At 40.9% G+C, this 22,643-nt stretch overlaps 1 annotated feature.

Annotated features, from left to right (window-relative positions):
- Window positions 1,643-1,712: an enhancer, noted in NCBI's record as "active region_24872". NCBI's record gives its function as "activates an Ori minimal core promoter by ATAC-STARR-seq in GM12878 lymphoblastoid cells {active_cell/tissue: GM12878}" and the evidence as "EXISTENCE:reporter gene assay evidence [ECO:0000049][PMID:35858748]".

The following is a 22,643-nucleotide window of genomic DNA, read 5'->3' on the forward strand; positions in this document are numbered from 1 at the left end:
GGTGACAAATTCAAAGCAGGGTAAAAGGAAGTCTCCAAAACAATAGCACTGAAATTATCCCAGAGCTTTTTCAATTGTGAGAATTTAGTGCACCTGAGTTGCTAGACTCACTATAGTGGCAGCATGCCTAAGTGGTATATTTTTTAATCTAAATCTAAGGAGGTGACCTCTTTTGGTAGAATGAACATTGATGGTTTTTTTTTTTCTATTTTGCTGAAAATATTCTACAATATCCCAGGGATTTTCAGGGAAAGCACGCTCTATTCATAAATGAAAATAAGAGCACATATTCCAGTCCTCAGTACAAAGCTTCAAGGACCATTGTTGAGCATTGGCTATTACCAAGTACTATGCTACATGCTTTATATACATTGATTCATTTGGTCTTCACAACAGTCTGCTAGGGGTAGGTACGACTATTACTTCTATTTTACAGAGACAGAAAGAGGGAGGTTAAGTAACTGGTTTAAAGTCATCTGGCTAGTGAGTGACAGAGTCAGGATTTGAACCCCGGTATTCTAACTCTATTGCCATACTCTTAACTACTTGGCAATACCACCTCCTAAAAAAAGTGAGTGGCCTAGCTTCAAGGACATTAGGTCCTGAAGGCCTAGTAGGAATTGAGTTTTGGTGCGAAGCCACTCAGCATGTTCGATTTTAGAAATGGAACCTAGTATTCTACTGTTGAATACGAGGCAGGCCAGGTAAGTTAGGTTTCACTGCATCCTAGCTATGCGGTTGATATTCTCAATTCTATTTAGTTTTATTCCCAATCTGTCTCTGAAAATGATCGAAGTACTTACATGCAAATATACATCCTTCCTTTAGGCCTCTACAGAACTCCAGTCTCATTTCGACTGCCTTCTAAATATCCCTACTTGCTTAAGCCTTCACGCATCTCAAATACCTACACTGAGCTTCCCAGTCCCACTTCAACAGCTCTGCATTCCAACTTCTCTGTCTCCATAGTGGTGTCATTCAGTCACCCACACTCTAAACTAGCTCAGGATCAGTTTTTACTCCCCTCTTTCCCGCACTGTTTCCTGCCTCAACCCCTGCCCCAAGCAAACATGCAGTTAGTCATTAAGTCCTGCTGATTCCCTTTGCCAAATCTGTTCTTTCCGATTCCTGCTGCAACAAATCAAATTTCTAAAACCATATTTTGGAATAAATTTCCCATGAGTTGGCCCACCTTTAGGCTTGCTGTCCTGAATATAGCCACCAGATTAAAGTTGAAATTCAATGCCTTTGACAGTGTTTTTGTTTTGTTTTGTTTTTGTTTTTTTTCCTGTGCTCTTTTGTGTGCCAGGCACTAAGTTGGAGACACATCACTGAATAAACAGACAAGACTCCTGCCTTAAGGAAGCTTGCTAAAGTGTCCAAAATGACTACATAACTTCCCTGGTTAAAGCCAACCAAAGCAGTAAAGTAATATTCAAAGATTCTCTATTTCCTCAATTTAATGGCAAAATCTTGGTTTGGAAATCAAGTTCCTCCACCATTTGGCCTCACTTTCCCTTTTCCCTTGCTCTTCATCAGCAGGTGCTCAGCCTTGCACCCAATACATTCTGTTTATTCTGTTTCCCAACACAGTGATTCTCTCACCTCCCTGCCTTGCCCTTGCTGTCCTTTCTGCTGGGAATAGCTCATCTTCACACTTCTCTACACAAATATTTCTGCTTTCCACCACCGTGGAGTTGTTTGCCTCCACCACGGGGCCAGATCAGGAGATACGCATGTCCCTTACTCACTTCACTGCTGTGGTCAGGTCTTGCCCGGATCTGGGGCAGGAGGGATTTAAATAGTATATAGCCTGACACTTTGTGGTAGAGAAAGTCCCTTTGTGACAATTTAGCCTGTTCACCCCCCTCAGCTCTTGCTTTGGTTCTGAGGCCCATCTTCACCCTCAGTTCTGGTACCTGAGCCTGTGCCTCATTTCTGTTTTCTGCGTCCCTCTTAGGGACCCCTTACCTCACACGTTGAACTCAGCATCCCCTTCATATAATCCTTCCCTTAAACTCCACCCCTATGACTGAGACCCCAAGGTCCCAAAACACTTTTGCAGATTCTAACAGCCTACCTGCCTCATTGAAAACTGGAATATTATGGTTCATTCATTCACCAACAATAAATGTTTACTGGAGCCTTCCTGTATGCCAGGGCCTGACCACATAACACATGGCAAGAACTATTCCCCATTCTCATGATGCTCACTCTCTCATTGGGGTAAGTGGTTAAATAAAGAAGCAAAGTAATTTTGGGGAGTGAGAAAGACTATGAGGAGAGTCAAACGGGCTACTGAGATGGAGGCAGGGACTGGCAGAAGCTGGTTTAGATGGGGCGCTTAGGAATAACATCTCAACTGAGATTGGAACGACGAGAAGGAGCCAGCCAGCCATGTGTAAAGCTGAGTAGTGTCCCAAGCAGAGGAAACTGCAGGTGAAAGATCCTACTGTAATCACCAGAGACCAAGGAGAGGCCAGCAGATCAGGGCAAAGGAGGGGAGAGTAGTAAAGAAAGTAGGGCAGCAGGGGCCAGAGCAGGGGAGACCTTGTTGCTGTGTTCCTGAGAAGTAGTTTTGTTGGATTTTCCCCAGTTGCCAGCTGCCTGGCTCTGCAGATCTTCTGCACTGTTTGTCTGGCTTACGTGCTCCTAGTTCCTTTTGGCTTGATTTGTCCTTCCTCGTTCCCCCTGGACGTGCCCCATTTTGATGGCAGGGTCTTGGATTCCCATCACTGTCTTTCTCATGGTCATTAAGTGGGCATTGCCCAGATAACACGTCCAAGGTAAGATGGTGCCCATCCAAGTTCTCCCTGGTCTCTAAAGCCTAATTCCCATATAAGTTTCTTTAGGACATTTTCCCAAATGATCATAGCTGGAGAAAGATCTAAGGCAGTAGCCTGGCTTGGTCTGAGCCATCACCCAGCTTTCCTCACATGCTCATTTATGCTTTGGTGTCACTTTCCTTTCCAGATTTTATGCCTCTGAAAATAGGAGCTGTCTCTGGTACAATTTTGTTCCACCAGATTAATAGCATGGTGGCTCGTTCTCAGTAGCCATGGAAATGTGTTTTGGAGAATAAACTATTTGTGGAGCTACTTGGCTATTGTCATGAGGATTAAAAATATATGTGAAGCAGTTGGCCATGATGACATGCTCCTCTAGTCTGAGCTACTCCAGAGGCCGAAGCAGGAGGATCTCATGAGCCCAGGAGTTTGAGGCCAATCTGTAAAAAAAAAATTATGAAGCATCTAGAAAGGTACTTGGCACATAATAGGTTCTAAATTAATGATAATATTATGATCATTGTCATAGTTGAGTGACTTTGGGCGTAACTCTTCCGATTTTTTAGTTTAAATGATACTGCTGGATAGAATGATTTCTAAAATGTTTTCTAGCTCTAAAACTTGATCATGGCTTGGATGAACACCTTGAAAGCTCTCAGGAAGAGAAAGAGTCTTTGCCTGTTGGGTAACTTTTCCCTAGTGAGAAGGCTTGTAGGCATTTGAGATTCTTTTATGGCATCAGTGATAATGTACAATATTTTCAATAAGGAAGCAATTATACATTTTTAATTTATTGAGTAGTATATATTTAGTAGTATTTCAGGCATTTTGAGAGTAGAGACAGTGATAATACTTTTTTCAAATGTGCACCTGCAATAGCAAGTGTTGTCAAAGGTGTGGAGAAACAGAAATTCTCATATACTTCTTACGGGTATATACATCAGTACAGCCTCTTGGAAGTGCAATTCAACGATAGTGAGAAAAGGAAAAGATGCACATATTGTATGATCCTGCAATTCTACCCCTAGAGAAACTGTAGCACATATGCACAGAGGCTTTTTCAAGAATATTCATGGAAGCTTTGTGGTAAAAAATCTGAAGCAACCCAAGTGTCTCTGAGCAGGAGAAAGGATAGATTGTGTATTCAAATACAAACATGAAAATAAATGAGCTACATCTACAAAGCTTCATATGGATAAGTCTCAAAAGCATAATGTTTAGGGAAAAAGCAAATTGCATAATCATAATATAGTATGATAAAAAATAAAGTTAAAATCATACAATATATAGCTATGGATATAAACAGATAATATAAAAATGTAAGGACCGGCATGAAAAACACCAAATTCAGAATAGTGGTTAACTCTAAAAGGGATGGAGGAAGGAGAGTGGAATTAGGAGTGGGATATATACGGAGTTTCAACTAAATATGAATGTCTTTTTTTCCTTAAAGAAAGATTTGAAAGAAATAGGGCAAAAGATTAAGATTTAATGAAGCTGGGTGTATACAGCAGTGCTTATTATTGATCTGTTTTTTGTATACTTATAATAATTAAAAAGAAAAATATAACTATTAAAATATACCTGTGACTAGTTGGATTTGAAAGAAAAAACAATTGAAACTACTAGTACAGTGGCTATCTAAACACTAAGTCTTGATGCTCATTTTTGTGTTCACATTGGAAAAATATCTGGATTTAGGTTTTGAGACTAAGTATCAATAATGATAAGAAGTAATCATGAAAACAATTAATGACATGTTTTGACAAATTTTTTTTTTTTTTTTGAGTTGGAGTCTCGCTCTGTCTCCAGGCTGGAGTGCAGTGGAGTGATCTAGGCTCACTGCAACCTCCGCCCCCCAGGTTCAAGCGATTCTCCTGCCTCAACCTCCTGAGTAGCTGGGACTACAGGCGCCTGCCACCACGCCTGGCTAATTTTTGTATTTTTAGTAGAGATGGAGTTTCACTATGTTGGCCAGGATGGTCTCAATCTCTTGACCTTGTGATCCGCCTGCCTCAGCCTCCCAAAGTGCTGGGATTACAGGCGTGAGCCCCTGCACCCCGCCTGACAAGTGTTTCTTATCCTACATCCTGGAAGTGTAAAGCTTTATTTTTTCTTTAGGCAGATTTTATCTTACCAAATGCCCATTTAGGTATTTAATTGTGTATTGTTTTTACCTTCATTTAAATGTTTCCTGTACTTATCTTCCCAACTACACTGAACCAGAACCCTGAATCACCCAGTTTTCAGTCTGGAGTTTTTCTCATCAACATCATATACTGCTTTTGTACTCAATAAATACTTTTTGAGGGTATGAATGACTAAATAATTATCCTCTTAATGCATTAATTTCTCTTATATAAGAAACCTAGACCCTTCTCTGAGGACAACAGAATTACTGACCTACTAAAGAATTTGATTTTCTGTGAGTAGGACATGAGTGATTCTTTTCTCAATATGCAGGTTTGTACAGTATCACAACAAATAAACAAAGTAAAAAACCTTATGGTTTATTTAAGCATTTATAAAAATGCACACTTCAGTTCTTTCTAGACAAGGCAGCTGGCCTCTCCCTCCCCAGCACAACACGAAATGGTTCCTACCATGCTGTCTGGCATCAAGGGCTGTTCTCGTCCAAGAAACACACATGTTGCTACTCTTCTATTCTATTTTGATTGACATTTGTATTTCTCAAAAGCAACAATCAGATTTTTAATATTCAGACCCAAATACTCATTGCATTGTCAATGATGGCAAGAAAAATTAGAGGATACAGGCAAATTTTCAGCTATGTGGATGAAAGCAACCTTTATTTTTCTCTAATACTGAATCCAGCTTTGAGGTTCTTTATTTACAGCAGATATGAAGCCAAGCCTTTGTAGTTGTGTGTTTTTTTCTTCCCCTCTTTTTTTTGGGGAGGGGTTGATGTGAGCTGGCATCTCTCATGAAAAGATAAAGGCATTAATTAACTACACTACCAAACCTCAAGGATAAAAGCTATTGTGAACAGGAGTTAGGCATGCACATGGTATCAAGTAAGGGCCTGGAAACAGACTGCTGCCAAGGAAAACAGATGTCTGTCTCCTTTAAGGAGATCAAATTATGGGTATATTAGCTATTGCTAATCTCTCAATTGATTTAACAATGATGGTATTGATGAGCTAATTTGAATTGAGTGCAATCATTGCCATTACCATTGTCACAATAAAATTCTTAAAACATTTGACTCAACCAAGTAATAATAAACAACAACAATAACAAAACAATAGCAAAGAAGCCATCCTAGAAGAGAAATGGATGCATCAAATCCAGAAATGATAAAGGGCCAGACGGGCTCCACTTCTATCTTTTGCTGTAAAGTCCAGATGTGAGTAGGAGAGGAATTTCCCCCACATAACAGTGAGTATTAACGACTCACAATCATAGGATGCATGAGACAATGATGAATTGTATATTACAAGCCTATAGAAGACAATCAAAACGGTCACTTTCTTCCTAGTGGAATTCACTAGCAAAATTGGAACAGAAAGAAAATTCTGCTTAAGGTTTTGCACACTGTTTTTCCTGTTTTCCTGACATGGTTATAAATAAGAAAAAGTGCAGATGTTCAGATTCTCTCTGTTGCATGACTGTGTTTCATCCCTTTATTGGGTTGCTCTTATTGTTTCTTTTATGTTGTTGTGGTGTTGTTTTTAAACTCCCCTGCACATGCTATCTGCAGAACATTTTCTTTCTTCTCTCTCTTTCTCTCGTTTCTTTCAACTGCACTTGTCATTTCTCAGGATTTTTGGGAGAAGAGGGAGAGGAGAGTTAGGCATAGATCATGAGCCAGAATCTAAGGGAGCAGGGTAAAGAGTATCTGAATAAGATAATATGCCCTAGAAAAACCCAGTTCTTTCTCTCCATCTTTTTAGAGGCCACTTCAATTCTTGTTTACATTCACACTTAGGGGACATATGCAGAAATAGGCCAACTTGAAGGTTAAGTAACTCCAGCATGACCAGGTCGGCCATGAGAACATGGAAAAAGTTCTGAAGTCAGTCTAGAAGTTCAGGTTCACTTTCAGGAAGCAGAGGGCCCAGTTTAATAAGTAATGCCTGATGTCAATACAAAATTAGACCCAAGCTTTGGCTCCCTTCAGAGTTGAGCTCTCTACTGCCCCTTCCCAGAGGTTTGAGGAATGGACATATAAAGAGGTTTCTTGACTGAGCAAGATACTGCAAAGCCATTTGAACTGCAGTGGGCTTTGTTGTGTTTTTCCTTTCCTTGTTTCAGTCCCTCTGGCAAAGCCCTATTAACCTATGTGTTTGATTCCAAGTTCTTTTTACTTTTTAGACTAGATAGTCTGATTCCCATGAAGGTCTTGAGAGACTCACAGTTCCTCCCAGCAGTCAGGAAAAATGATGTCCAAGCTTCTGGCCCTCACTTTCCAGTGGACTAAGACTACAATACAAGATACCGAACACCTAGATATTTCCAGATTTTGGATATTGGTCTGCCTGATGCCAAACATCTGGATAGTTGAAAAATCAGGATGCTTGGCATCAAGCAGACAAAACATCTGGATGACTGCTTGAGTTTTTCACTTTTTAAGTGGATGTTTGGTGTCTTGTAGACACAAGCTGAGGCTCTGACTTCATCTTGTAACAGCCCCCAGGCTGCCAGGCTGGCTCCAGATTCCCTTTATTGCAACTGACATTTTTACAAGAAAACTTTGCATTCTGTGTGATGCCTGTTGTTCTTATGCTGAGAAACAGATTGGTTACTCAGGAAAAAACCAGCCCAAACCGAGCCCCAAAGGCCACATGCTTGAGCAAGGGCTTGAAGGAGCTGGAGAATTTCAGACTCACTATTGTCTTTGTGAGGAAAATCACCACATAACTGCAGTAAGAAGAGGTGGTTGCTGGAGAGAGAAGAAGGCCTCCAGAGTGCTAAAAGTGCCAGATCCATTCTAATAGCTCTCAATTTAGCTCACCCTCATTGCAGCCATGGAATATTGTTTCCAGGTAGTGCTTTTTGTACCACTTAATGCAGATTAATGATAAATGGTCAAACATTCCATAAGATGCACCAGTGATTCTACAAATGAAACAATAGGGATGGTTTAGGAATCACCATTTTTTCTAGAATATTTGAGCAAATAAAATTGAGCAAGTAAGATGCTCAACTTTGCCTCATTTGAAAAAAGAGTTTCACAATCCAAGTGAAGGCTTATTCACTCCTCCACCTTGGAACAATTGTGGTAATGATGAAAGTAAATTATCAACAGTTATTTATTGACCACCTTCCATGCACCTAGCTGTCATGAACTGTCTGACTTCACACCCCTTCTCATCCCTGCTCTTTGCCAAGTGTACCTATTAGCTTCTCTGATGAGCTCAGACCTGCCTACTCACTGTGAACAGCCCTGCTGTATGGCACAGAAGGATCCCTGGCCTCCAAATGCTGTTGGAACGGGTTCAAGCTACACTCTTTCCTCTTTTCCCTTCATGCCTGGCATACAAGATCCCTTGCCTGGATCTTACTCCTTGACACCTCAATCCTTGGCCTGTGTTTTTAGTCTCCATTTGAGTCCCTCATCATTAACTTAGTCTTGGAAACTCCATTTTTTATCTCTGAGCTTCAATCTCCCTAACTCTGGATGATTCTTACTATCTATTGGAATTACAGGATTTGCTTCTTCCTACCCACTTTAATAGCAACCACTTGTTGAATACAGGATCTAGCATCGAGCTGACCTTTTAAATTTACTATCTTATTTAATCCTCACATGAGGTTAATATTGTAAACTGCTATTTTGCAGAGTAGAAACTGAGATGTAGAGCAATTTAACAACTTGAGGAAGCTCACAAAATAGAAATGAACAGAAGCAGAACCAGAATTCAAACCCAGGACTGACTCTAGAGCCTAGACAGTGACCACTACTCAGTATCGCCTCGCTTTGTTCTTCTAGGCTTGATGCCTTGCTTCTCTGGCCTGTAGTACCTCTCCATCTTCAGCACTTTGACTTTTCTTTAATTGACTGACTGTGCTTGATCCTATGCCTGACATTAATTTATTTATCGGATAACATAGCTTGAGTGCCCACTCTGTGGCAGGCACTGTGTTTTGTGTTGAGAATAAAATCATGAACAAGGTAAGACCCAGGCTCTGCCCTCACAGTCATACTCAGCTTAGTGCCTGGTAAGGGTAACAAACAAGTCAGACAGTAATTTCCATATAGTGCCATAAGAGCAGTAACACAAGGAGCTATTTATATAATAGTACCTGGTGGGTAAATTTCTGGTTCTGAGCCCTTCTGGTCTTCCCTGCTCCTGGTCCCATCAGGTCCCCTTCTTCTCTCCCTTACTAAACTGACATTGAGTCTTCTACTCAATGGAAGGGCGGGCTCATTCGCCCCTCAATGTGGGGGAGATGGCAGGATGAAAGGTCAGCAGCCTGAGGTCACCATCTGGGAGAACTTAGAATTGAGTTCTGCTCTCCAGATCTGGAACTCAGTGGCTAAGTTGGAACTTCTGAGCTCCTGTATGTACCCTCCAGCCTCCTCTGCAGCCTGGGACATATAGGCTCTGGGCTTCTAGGTATGAGCTACCTTGCCAGCATTCTCATCAGAGGTTCATAGAGTCTATGAGGGTTCCACTAATAGTCCCAAGTTTCTGCCTGCTACCTTTCTTAGTGGTTTTTAGGTGTTCTCTAGAATTGGGGCCACAGTATTCCTTCGCCCCAGGGCAGGGCTTTGTTTTTCAGGCCCCTGCCACCTGGCAGAGATCTTACAACCTATGGATGACAGGACTTCTGACATGGACTGCTTTTCAAAGTCTATTTCCACAATGTTTCAACCCCTGGAAGGGCCTCTGATGCCAAGGGTTACCTGAATCTCATGCAATCTTGTTGCACGTGGGTTTATATTGTGCTTGGGGGCTTCAAGCTACATTTAGGCTCATTCACTGGTCCTGGTCAGTCGCCAGGTCAGTAGCCGGGTCAATTTTCCCTTGACCTTGTTCAATACTGGCAATTTTCTTGGTAATCTCTCTTATCACAGTGATCATATGTGTAAGTAAATGCCCAATAAATATTTACTAAAGGAATTAAGTGAAGTTAAAACAAGAACTGATGCCAACACCCAAGCAGCACAGATCTTCATAGATACCCATCACTCAATAACCATTTGCTGATTTGAATGTTTGAATTGACTTGAACTACAATATGTCTGAGGAGATAAGATTTATAGATATGAAACAATTAAGGAGCAATAAGAGACAGCACACCTCAAACATGGTTTGGTACTGACTGCCCTGTGGATAAAGGAGACAGCCCTAGGGAACAGAGTTGTCAGCAAAAAAAAAGCTCATAGAAGATGAGGACTTGCAATGGACTTTGGGTCATTAATACCTCTCATGTTTTTCCAAATGATTTCTACAGTATAGCTACATCACACTCATTTTTAGAAAAATTAAAGAAGTTGAGAGATTAAAGCGTATTCAGAAGTGAAATAATATTTTTGTTCAAATTTGGCAAATATTGAATGCCTACTACATGCCATGCTCTGTTGCTAAGAATTGGGCATATCAAATGAACAAGAAAGACATGGTGGCCCTTTGGGGAACAATGTTGGTGTGTCTGTGATAAATAAGAAATCAAAGGACAAGGTAGCAAGTTCTAAAAAGGAATTATATGACAAGTACTATAATGGGAATCCAAAGAACAAGGGACATATGGGATATAGCTGGCCTTCCTGGCCGTGGCAGGGGTGGGAATACATTGGTAAGGAAATACTGCAGGACCTGAGTCTTAAAAAAGGACCTTCAGTTTACTGTGCAGGGTGAGAGAGAAAGGACTGAAAAGGAAATTGCAGGGCAATGACTTGCACTGCCAAAGAACATGGCATAGGTTGAGGCTGGCCAGGAGGGTTAAGGACAGGCTACGGAGTGCCTTCAGTACCCTGCCAAGATATCTAGAGAGATTTTGGAAACTTTGTGCTGCCTTGTACTTGTAGACTGTGGGTTCTAGCTGCTTTTTCTCTCCACTTTTCTTCTTCTCTCCTCCTTAGCATCCCACTTGCTCTGTCTCTGCTCAGCTCTTAATGCCTTGACTCATTCATGTGCAGGGACTAGCTCTAGCCAAGTCCAAATACAGGGCTGCAGGGCCTGCCAGCTCTCCACAAGGATGCCTGTGACCTCAGGCCACCTTGACTTTTTCCCTTTAGTTGGATTCTGCATTTGTTTCCATGGGAGTAAATCTAAAAGAAGGATGTCCCGTGATGCTCTTACAGAGTCAGAATGTTGGCTTTACACATCCCTAATGATGTCCAGAAAAGTTCAAAGCATTTTACTGTGTATAAGGGACAGGGCAGAATATGGTTCTCCCTGTGGATAAAACATGGTGTTTATTTCTGGCCTCTGGCTCCAGAAACATTTATTTCTAAAGATGGCAAAGGATCAAAGCCAAGCCTGTAAGTTATACCTCATATTCTATAGAGTTGTGTGATTCTTTTCTCTAAAATATTAGGCAATTCCACCTTCCATTTTGGCTTGGCAATGGTTTTAAAAATTATTTCCTTTGGGAGTCAGAGTGGCCTGACAGAAAGCACCTAAAAATTCACAAAACCATAGAGAAGATCATCCTTCCTTTTGGCCATATGATAAGGCAGTCTAAGAATCAGGTGCGTTTTTCTATTCCAGGAGTGGGCTCCACTTTTGAGATTTGCATGGTTCATTAAACCAACCCTGTGTCCTGCTGAGCCTTCCGGCTGTAAGCGCAGAACCCCCCACATGAGCATTAAGCTAATGAAATTCCCTGCCAGGAAAAATAGAGCCTAAACTAAGCTTGACACATCAAGGTTTCACCCCTCCAAGTATTTTAAAGGACATGATACAAGTTAGAGACCAAGTCAGGGTTTCTGCTTAACTCTTTGTAGGCCTGACCATCTGCTATGTGGTACATAAAGCCTGTCCCGGTGATGACTGAGTTTACAAAATGGCACTCTGCCCTCATAGATGTTTACCAAACAATACAACAACATCAACACTTTTCCCTTTTATGTTCACTTTGTTGTTTTTTTCATCTTTCCTAAAACATTTATTTTTAATTTCACATCTTCTAAATTTCGGATGGCACAGCCAAGTTTCATTGGAGGGTCTAGTCTCACTTGGTCTCCTACCCAGTGCTTCTTAAACTTTAGTGCATATGAATCCCTCAAAGGATTTTGCTAAAGAGCAACTTGTGACTCAGGAGGCTAGGGTGCACCTGAGATTCTGCATTTCTAACATGTTCTCAGGTAATGACAATACTGCAGGTCCATGGATCACATTAGAGGTAGTGTGATCATAGAATATTAATCTCCCTGTATGGACCAGGCATTGGGTAAGGTGGTGAGGATACAGGAGAAAAGAACAGAGGTGTAGCTTACATTCTTATACTCAGTATACAGTCCTGATCAGTTAATCAGTAAAACCTGACTTTATTCTTGATTGAGAATTAAGTGACCTAAACTTACACTCCTTCATCTAATTTTATCTATAGACTATTGATTTACTTATAAACAGAGTCTTCAAACTTTCCGGGAAATATGAAGTGGTCATCATTAACTCTGATTTCCCAAGATCGGTTACCTTTGGGGTAAATGAAACACACAATGATTTATTCCTGGAGGTGAATGCTTCCCAATCTTTTTTATTTCATGACATGATAGCAAGTAATGTTGGAGTGTCATCCTGACAGAAGCTCCTTGCCTCTGGAGGCAAGGCGGCCAATGGGAAGAAACTGGCCCATGGGCTGCCCAGTGGCAATCAATACCTTGGCATGACAGTAACCAATACAGTCAGCCCCGATTGACAAGCTCTGTTTTTTGGCTATAGTTCATCAGCTTCAGAAATTCATCTTTAAAATACAAATACCATGGGAAGAGTAACACCAAAGTCACTATCAGATAAGAGTCCTGTGGGAATTAGTTGAGAGCTAAGCCAGATACAAGAGGAACTTGGATAGGACCCAGAGTATGCCAAGGACAAAGGAGGGGTAGAGAGGATGGCAGAAGAAAAGGGATGGTGAAAAGACACCAAAGGTGGGTTCTTCACATTTTGCCAAAGACATGTCTGCTTCAGCACTGATCATGCTTGCTCAAAATATTTCCTCTTCCTTCAGCACATACTGTGAATCTACACAAAGATCAAGTATTAAAAAGTAAGGTGGGGCTGCGTACAGTGGCTCACGCCTGTAATCCCGGCACTTTGGGAGGCCAAGGTGGGTAGATCACTTGAGGTCAGGTGTTCAAGATTGGCCTGGCCAACATGGTGAAACCCTGTCTCTACTAAAAATACAAAAATCAGCCAGGTGTGGTGGGAGGCGCCTGTAATCCCAGCTACTTGGGAGGCTGAGGAAGGAGAATCACATGAGCTCCGGAGGTGGAGGTTTCAGTGAGCCAAGATCACACCGCTGCACCACTGCACTCCAGCTACTAAAAAAAACAAAATAATAAATAAACATGGATAGGCATCTGTCTTTGCATATTTTTCTCAGTGAGTTGAAAGGCAATGACTTTAAATCAAATATTCTTTTGCAATGTTCGATCATAAGGAATTAGCACCCAAACCCATGTGATGGATAATTGCCTCCTATAACATTTGTTTTCTTCTTTGTGGACCAAAGGTCAGCAAACATTTTCTGTAAAGGGCCAGATAGTAAATATTTTAAGCTTTGTATCCATACAATCTCTATAGCAACTATTCAACTACTGTGGCATCCATAGACAGCACATAAACAAGTGGGCATCCATGTGGACCAATAAACTTTATTTACAAAAACAAGTGGTAGGGTGTACTCGGCCTGTGGACTATAGTCTGTGGCCCTTCTTATGGAAGAACTCTATATGTTAATTAATCTAAAATAAAAGTTGAATATGGAAGAGAACAGAGCATACTTAATTGCAGGGCATGATGGACAATCACAGAGGTATGAAGACAGATTCTTCTCAGTGCCAGATGCTAAACACAAACACCCACCCAGGGCCTTTGGAAAGTGGTAGTAGGTTTGGCAAATTGCCCAGGGAATAGGACATAAGTGGGAAAATTGAGACTTAAAGAAATGGTCTATGAAATGATCCTGCTACGTCAACCTGGCTGATAGATTTGAAATTCTACTATTCTGCAAAAGTTTTTGTTTTTTCCAGAAGTTTCTCAGCAGCCATTTGTCATAGCAGTTGTTACATATAACATGACACTGACAACCAGTAGTTTGCAAAAATACTGCACAGTTGGCATAGGTTGTATTTTCATGTTTTACTAAAATTCTTCTTTGACCACATACCAATTTGTCTTCTTTGAGCCTATGAGACTATGCTCATTTGGATGTCTGTGGTTTATGAAGTGGGGCCATCTAGCTATTTAAATTGTACTTTGGGAGTTTCTCAAAAGAGGCCAGATATAGACACTAAATATTATGATCTCAAAATACAACAGATAGATAAGTGCACTTGTTAGGGTTGCAAAACATATGCACATTAACTATACATGTTATTTAAACATGTATATATTGAGAGGTCAACTTTTTCTTCCTGTGTGGCCCTACTTACATTAACTATTAAACTGCATTTTAAATGTAAATTAAAGGTATCTAAATACAAGCACTTTTATGTTAGTTGCACAAGTAACAATTTACTTCACTCAGTTATGCATCCATTTTTGTTTTGTTTTTACAGGAAGTGAAATCCCTGTCACCAGAGAGAACCTTAGGTAAGCCAGGGATTTCTCATTTGAAATAAGTGTGTTGTTCACATTATGCCTTTAAACATTTATCCTAAATCAACCCTTTAATCTAGGAGTCTTTGATCCTAGTTCTTTTCTAGAGTCTTCAATACCAGAGCTTCCCCCAAGTTATTCTTGTGTAAATCGATATCATGGATGTTAGAAGGCAATAAATGAACAATGCCACATCTAGTATTTATAACAACAGGGATTATTAACTTAATTACCTTATCCTTTTGAAATATCTGAAGAAGAATTATGACCTCTGGGACACCAGCAACAGTCTCCTAATCTATTTCTTAAGTTATAGCGGCAAAGTCTGCAGCAGGCATCCCTACGTGCTCTGGCTTATTGCAGTCACTATGGTGGCATTTAGTGGTGTTCTGTCTTCGCGGAATTCTAAAGGCAGATGCTTATTTCAGGAGTTTTCTATTTCATTCAGAAATGAAATGTCAAAATTAAATTTGGGGACCAATGTGGAAGCATCAACTTTTAATTTTGTCAAATGAGAACAATAATCATTTTTTATCATATTCATAACTTCAAAAAAGAAAGACATTTGAACATAAAAATAGTAAGTAGAAAATAAACTCAAACTAAAGAACAAATCTTTATGGAAAAACTCCGTACATTGTCTTTATCTTGTTTTTTCCATATAGATTGGGAAGAAAATGCATAATTGATAACAAAGATGAAGGGAATTAGAAAATCTAAAAATCTTAAATAAAATCAGAAGGGTCATTTGCTGTGTTTAGATAAAAATCATTTGACAGTATTCCTTTATAGTAAGTGAAGTTAAAAGAGCGAATGATTTAAGGGTTTTAAAAAAATCTGCCCCTTCAATTACTGTAATTCTATGGGACATGTTCCTTCAATAGGATAAGACTGTTCTTAGAACATCATCCCTAAAATTAGACTGCAGGGAAATTTATCTCAGTATTTTCTAAACTTTTCAGGTGGTCAAATGAAAGTCATTATTCAAGAGGTTATTAATATGGTGATTTTAACTGGTAGCGATAATAATAACCATATATAAATGTTAAAGAATGGCAGTCCTATATAAAACAATATTTCCTGGTAAATCTATTTTTAAAACATTTTAGACGGAAAATTATCATACCCCACAGAACAAAAAATTTGCAAAAGATGTTTTCAACTCCTTTCCTATCCAATTCTCATTTCCTGTCTACTGGCCTCAGGGGTATAAGCCAAGCAAAATTTCAAAAGCTCTTGGAAAAACAGAAGCTGTGTGTGTGTGTGTGTGTGTGTGCATGTGTGTGTGTGTGGGGTGGGGAGGTGGAAGGCCATTAAAAGAAAAACAGATTTAAAATGTCCCTTTTTGGGGTAATTTGCGTATCTCTTGCAAAGGCTCAGACACACACACTCTCTGGCTTTGTGAATTTCCCTGTGATTGCAGAGGCTGATTGATGATGTGCTGTGATGAGAGAATCCAGTGGAAGCATTCACTGAAGGAACAGAAATGATTTGGGAGACACTGAAGTGATCTTATCATTTGGGTTATCAATAACTAAGCCTCTATAAATATCAACACTTCATCCATTACATAGTGAAAAACACAGAGGCTACCAACTGGGATCTGGACTGGGTGTAATGCAATGATTCAGTATCCTTTGGAGTTGGAGGGCCCGGCTGAGAGAGGGCCACAGAGTGGAGCTGTGGAGTCGAAATGGGTGGGAGCAGCCGCGCCCACAGTTAGGGGTCAGTGTGTGTTCAGACACTACAGTGAGCATCTCTGCGAGGATGGGTTTATGCAGAAAGAAGAGGGATCATGAAAAGTGCAATCCCTGTGTCCTGAGATACTCCAGCAGTATAGGAAATTGACGTTAGTGTCTATGGTTTCCTGTCAACGGGGAATCTAAGAGAAAAGTGTTAAAAAAGCCACTTGTTTCAACTATAAAGAGATGTTACCCAGATTTCTCACTCTGTAAGTGCCAGGGACAAACATATGACAGGCAGAACAGGACGTCAGAGAACAGTAATGCTAAAAGATAGGAATAGGATGTGTGTAAAATATTCCCTCAGTACATTGCTGCTAATCTGTCAGGAGGAGTGGGGCTGGCTAATGAGGTAATGAAAGAAGAATAATGCAAATTATAGTTCATATTTACTATGAAATGATTCTGTTTCAGGCTCTATGCTCAAGGTTCTATTCAGTCACCAAACCTGTGCTTCTGAAAGAGGACAGCGTAGATTAATAAGGAAATCAGTTATTGGTAGCTGCCTTTTGTTATCAACACTGACAAATTTGCTGTCTTTACTATGCCTTCCAAGTGACTAATATCAGTAGATTTGGTTAATAGAAAGAGTGAAGTCTAAATACTGAAAAAGAATAAACAAAATGCAGATAAATATTTTGAAATGATTCAGATTGGGAAAGTCCTAATACCACTGCTAAGCTTTCAACATTTTCCTTGCCACAGAATGATTCCTCTGAGAACAAAGTAATTGTTGACTTCAAAGAACTCTGAGGAAGTTCAGTGGATGGAAAGAATTTGGCTAGCAACAGGATGAATCAAATCTAGATTTTTTCCTATCACTAGTATATGTGTGTGTCTGTGTGTGTGTGTGTGTAGAGCACATGAATATTTCCATACAATTTAACTCACTACCTAAAGTGTTTCTCAATATTAAAAATGCACTGAAGAATGGAAATGCCCTTCCTATTTGGTAACTACTCCAAAGATGCCTTGGAGTTGTTCCATACCTGGGCTACACCTACACTCTATTAATTATGGAGAGTACTGTTCCCCAAATCTAGCTGGGCCCCAGAATCATATCAGGACCTTTAAAAGTATTTATTCTTTTATCATAGTCCTACTGAATTGGCTTCTTCAGAGGTGGAGGTGGAAATATATATATTTGTGCAAGTGATGCTGAAAACAGTCTGGGTGTACACTTACATTTAATTCAGGTTGGCAGTGAATCTTGTGAGCCACTCATCTAAACAGCTCAATTGACAGGTTAAGTGACTGCTACCTGTTCCAACTGAAGTTATTCCCTCAATAACAGCAGATCTGTGTAGACCCCATCAAGGACTTTAACAGTAATTGATTGACCCTCCATACTCACTTGATTGACCCTCCATACTCACCACCTGAGACCCTGCTTTTCATTCTTGCATTTCAAAGAACATGTTCCACTGTGAAATACCAAGATATCTTGGCCAACCTGGCCTTGAAATTGCCTGGCTGTTGGAAATGATGCCCCCACAATGGATTTGGAGAATACACCTTAATATATGCCCTCAGCAAGATAGGTTTCAAATAAGCGACTCAAACCTGGAAGCCTCCCACATGGTACATGAGACATTACAAATAAGCTCTTGGTTCTGTTGATTCTTCCTCTTTTAGTTTTCTATGTTTATACAGTTTTCTTGGTTTTAGAAACCTCCTCACTATAAACTCTGCTTATCAGCCTATTCTAGCTCTCCACCACACAGAATTGCATGCATGAGACAAGAGCAACCTGCCTGCTGAAAGCCTGAGACCACAGTCGCTTAGATTTTTAGGGGGCACTAAGTGTCACTGGAGGACAACCCACTTCAATTATGGTTTTTCTTACTTTCTTTCTTTCTTTTTTTTTTTGAGACAGAGTCTCACTCTGTTGCCCCAGCTGGAGTACAGTGGTGATCTTGGCTGACTGCAACCTCTGGCCTCCCGGGTTCAAGTGATTCTCCTGCCTCAGCCTCCCAAGTAGCTGGGATTACAGGTGCCTGCCCCCACGCCCACCTAATTTTGTATTTTAGTAGAGACAGGGTTTTGCCATGTTGGTCAGGCTAGTCTTGAACTCCTGACCTCAGGTGATCCACTTGTCTTGGCCTCCCAAAGTACTGGGATTGCAGGCATGAGCCACCACACCCGGCCAGTTTTTCTTTTCTTTAAAAGTATTTCATCAGCATCTCATATGGTGTGTTTGTGAGTTTGGCAGAGCACAGCAAGGCATTTCAAGATCTCAGCATTCGTTTCTTGCTTGGAGAGACAGGAAAAGGTGCACTTGTTCTCATCCCTGGGGAAATGGTCCCTCATGAGTCAAAAATGCTTTGTTTCTGGTCAAGGCAGCTTCAGAGATACCGACACTGCCTTTCTCTTCCTAGTCCAATCACCCCCTTCCTTTTGGGTCTCAGCAGGTATAGAAGTTGAGAAGACTGAATTCACTGTTGAATTCATTCACCTATCAATTCACCTCAACAATGATTTCTCATTGTCATGTGCCAAGCACTTTGAGGAATACAAGGTAATCCATGGAGAGAATAAATTATATATAATTTCCAATGCAAAGTAGAAAGGGGTTTGTAGCATGAAAGAGGAAAACAAAAATTGCTATGTGAGCTTTGTGGTCAGAGCTCATATATTATATAGTGGAAGAGAAGGTTAAGGGGAAAGCTTCCCTTTCTTTCTTTCCCTATATCCAGTCCCCCAACTCTAAAGTATTGGGTGTAACATAACTTTTGGAATGCCTATAAGGTCTTACGTTTCAGGAATCTCTGTGACAATGCCAGCATTTGTGGGGTTCAGGAAGACTGAGGCCAGCTTTGCAGTAGAATGTTGCAGAATCACCTGGGAAGTTTGGGGAGCAAAAATATTCTTGCTTGGACCACAGAGATCGGGATTCACAGCCCTAGGGTGGGTCCCTCATGTCATCTCCAGGTACATGTGCAAAATTCTCCCAGGAGTTAGGCTAGTATCTCTCCACAGAGAGCCACAACACTGACTTAAACTGATTTTATGTTTCCTGCAACAGCAAATCCAGAAGATAGGAAGAAAAGTAACAGTTGGCCATGTAGCAGCACAAGCTTTATGGCATTTAGTGCTCACATTAAACCCATCTCACAGATGGAGAGACACATTGAGAAAAAGACCAAGTTGTTGACCTACAGTCATAGGTGGTCAGTGATAGAACCTGGCTATCCACTCAGATTTCCTGATTCCAAGTCCAGTGCTATTCCCTTGTCACCTCACAATGTGCATAGTAGTTATTCAATTAGTATCCATTGAAAGGAATTGAATCAGAGACAAAATAGTGCTTCCAGAGCACTGGTGAAGAAAGCCGCCCTTGTGGCACCTTTTCTCAGAACAGGGCTCCCAGACATTGATGCCTGGGTGATCTTTCACTGGGGCACCTAGGTGATCTTTCCACAGACACAGCTAGATGGCATCTGCAGCCAGTGGCGGGGAGCTGGAGCCCTTCCCAGTCTAGCCATCACGACATCTTTTTTTCTTTTTCAATTCTGTCATTCTAACAATGGCTGAGTAGAGGTTCAGGATGATGTTGGCAAAAGATCTTTTCCTGGGCCTCCCCTTTGAAACAGAGAAAGGGAGAAGCCACCATAGAAGGTCCTTCCCACTGTTTTTCCCTTCAAACTTACCTTCATTTGTAAGGGTGGCCTGAGCAGAGCTCACCCTGATTTCTGAACAGGTTATGCCATCCATCAAAGATGCAAGCATCATGTGAATAATTGAGGTAACTGGGAACTTTGCACCTGTAGCCAAGGCAGAGTTTTCTGCAGTGCATATTTACAATGTAGTTTTCCTTCAAGATATTAAAAATCATATTTATCTTTTATTTCAAGTCATTTCTACTGATAAAGGATGTTTTTATAATAATCTGCAAATCAATTGCAGAAGAAAGAAAATTGAGTACTGGATGCATACGTTGACTAATATCTACATGAAAATTTTTGGCTTGAGGTATTTAGAGGAAAAAATTCAATTATTATTCTTCTTCTCATTAAATATTTTCTGTACCCTGAGATAAAAAATGTTTATAAGCTTTATTTCCCCTTCACAGTTCAAAGTCTTTATCTTGATTAATCTGATCTTTTGGCTTTCTTCTTCGATGCTATGATTCATTGGTTTCCTGTCATTTCACTCTGCAGAGAGTCTGGTTTTCCCATTGACAGCCTGCCATATAGTCTCGGCAACAAGAATTAGCCTGAAGTAATTTGGGGCTGTTACTGTGGCTCTCTGACTTGTTTGGATCTACAGGGAGATGGCCATGACCAAACAAAACAACAACCAAAGGAAAGCTACCAGGTCCTCCTGTATTTGGACAGCCCAGATGTTATTTACAGCCTTGTTTATGAAGTATTTTCTTGACCCCGCTGGCTAGGATCCACACACTTTGTCCTTTTAGAGCCCACACGTCCTGTCACATGGTGACAATGTGCCCTGAACAAGTAAACAGGCTGGAAGACTATTATAACAGTAGAAAAATCTTTTGGCGTAACATCGTGCTCCTCCACTCCACCTCTAAAAAGGACAAAGGAAAGCATGGAGGAAGAGAACCAAGGACTGCTTTAGTTTTAGATTTTCAAATGACCGTAACTCATGCCACCATTTTGAAACTCCTACTATGTGCAAGGTGCTGTGAATAAAGAAGTTACATAGTCCACAAGCCCATCTCTCCATGACCTCAGGCTCCCATTCTAGTGGTATTAATGAGCCCAGTGGACCACCTACAATCTGAGGGCATGGTTGCTTTAACACACTTGGGCAGGGGTACCAAATATTCTCAGTATTACAAATAATCTGTGCACCCTACCATTTTTCAGTGACCATTATTTATCCCATTATAAATAATATTGAGAATATAGGGACTCTCACGTGTCTCAAATTAGGATAAAAATTAACTAAATTACAGTCTGTCCCTACAATAGAGGGCTTTGCTGTCCTGTTTACTTCTACTACCAGCAGAAGTCTCCTTGGTCAAACCTCCTCCCCAGCCTCTTACCCAGCATGGCAGGGTACACTCTGTAATCTGATTCCGTCTCCCATTGTTCTGATCCTTTCCCACACCCCTCTACTAGGCTGTTGCCAGCAGACTCCTCTGTCTTGAATACGTGCTTGGAACATCCTTGTTCTAACTGAAACCTGAAAAGTACCTGAGAATTACGCAGCCCACTGGGCCCTCTTAGGAGAACGTTGTTGCTTTCTTACCTCTGGCTCTCACAGCGCCTGAAGGTGCATTGGTACCTACCTTGCTCCTCTCTTGAAATCTGCAGTTCTTTTGATGCTTACATGCCATAAGAATCTGGCTGCTATTCATACTTATTGCTGTAATTAACTGACAGCCTCGTTATTCTTTCTCACTCACTAAGGGTTTTGGCACGTGACTCCCTACCTTTCCATCTACCACCTCTCCTGACATCATTCTTTAGGACTTTAACACCCCCATAGGTGATCATCTAATGTCCTGTCTTCAAAGTTCCCTGCTATCATCAGTTCTTTTTTTTGAGACAGGGTCTCGCTCTGTTGCCCAGGCTACATGGCTCACTGAAGCCTTGACCTCTTAGGCTCAGGCAATCCTCCTGCCTCAGCCTCACTAGTAGCCAGGACTACAGGCACACACCAGCACACCTAGCTAATTTTTGTAGTTTTTATAGAGACAGGGTTTCGCCATGTTGTCCAGGCTGGTCTTGAACTCTTGGGCTCAAGCAATCTACCCTCCTTGGCCTCTCAATGTGTGGGATTATGCATGAACCACCGTACCCAACCTAAGCTCAGTTCTGATGCTCATTTCCTTTACAACCCCATTTCCAGCCTCTTCAGTGATTTTACCCTAGAATTTACATAATCAATTAATGCACTGCCTCCAACATTTCTGGCTTCCCACTCTCTGTCCACCAACTGCTTTTCCAGCTCACTTACTGTAGTACCATTACTCCATTTAGGGTACGCCAATCTATGTGCCTTACCATTTTTCAGTGACCATTCTCCATCCCATTACATGTCCTATATCTCTTTTCTTATTAGACTCTATGGTTCATTGAGGTAATCACTTCTTTGCATATGCCCTCAATTCTTAAAGTGAATTGAAGAGTATCTCCCCCAAATCCACGTCTACTCAGAGCCTCAGAATATGACCTAATTTGGAAATAGGGTCTTTGCAGATATAATGAGTGAAGATGAAGTCTAAATTAGGGTGGACCCTAAATTCAATAACTGGTGCACTTATAAGAATAGAAGAAAGATACAGGAAACATAGACACAAGGAAGAGGACCATGTGAAGATGGAGCTAGAGAATGGAGTTTTATGCTGCCACAAGCCAAGGAATGCCAAAGACAGCTGGCAACACCAGAAGACAGGAGACAGTTAC

This window comes from Homo sapiens, chromosome 6, assembly GCF_000001405.40.
Source record: "Homo sapiens chromosome 6, GRCh38.p14 Primary Assembly".
NCBI lineage: Eukaryota > Metazoa > Chordata > Mammalia > Primates > Hominidae > Homo > Homo sapiens.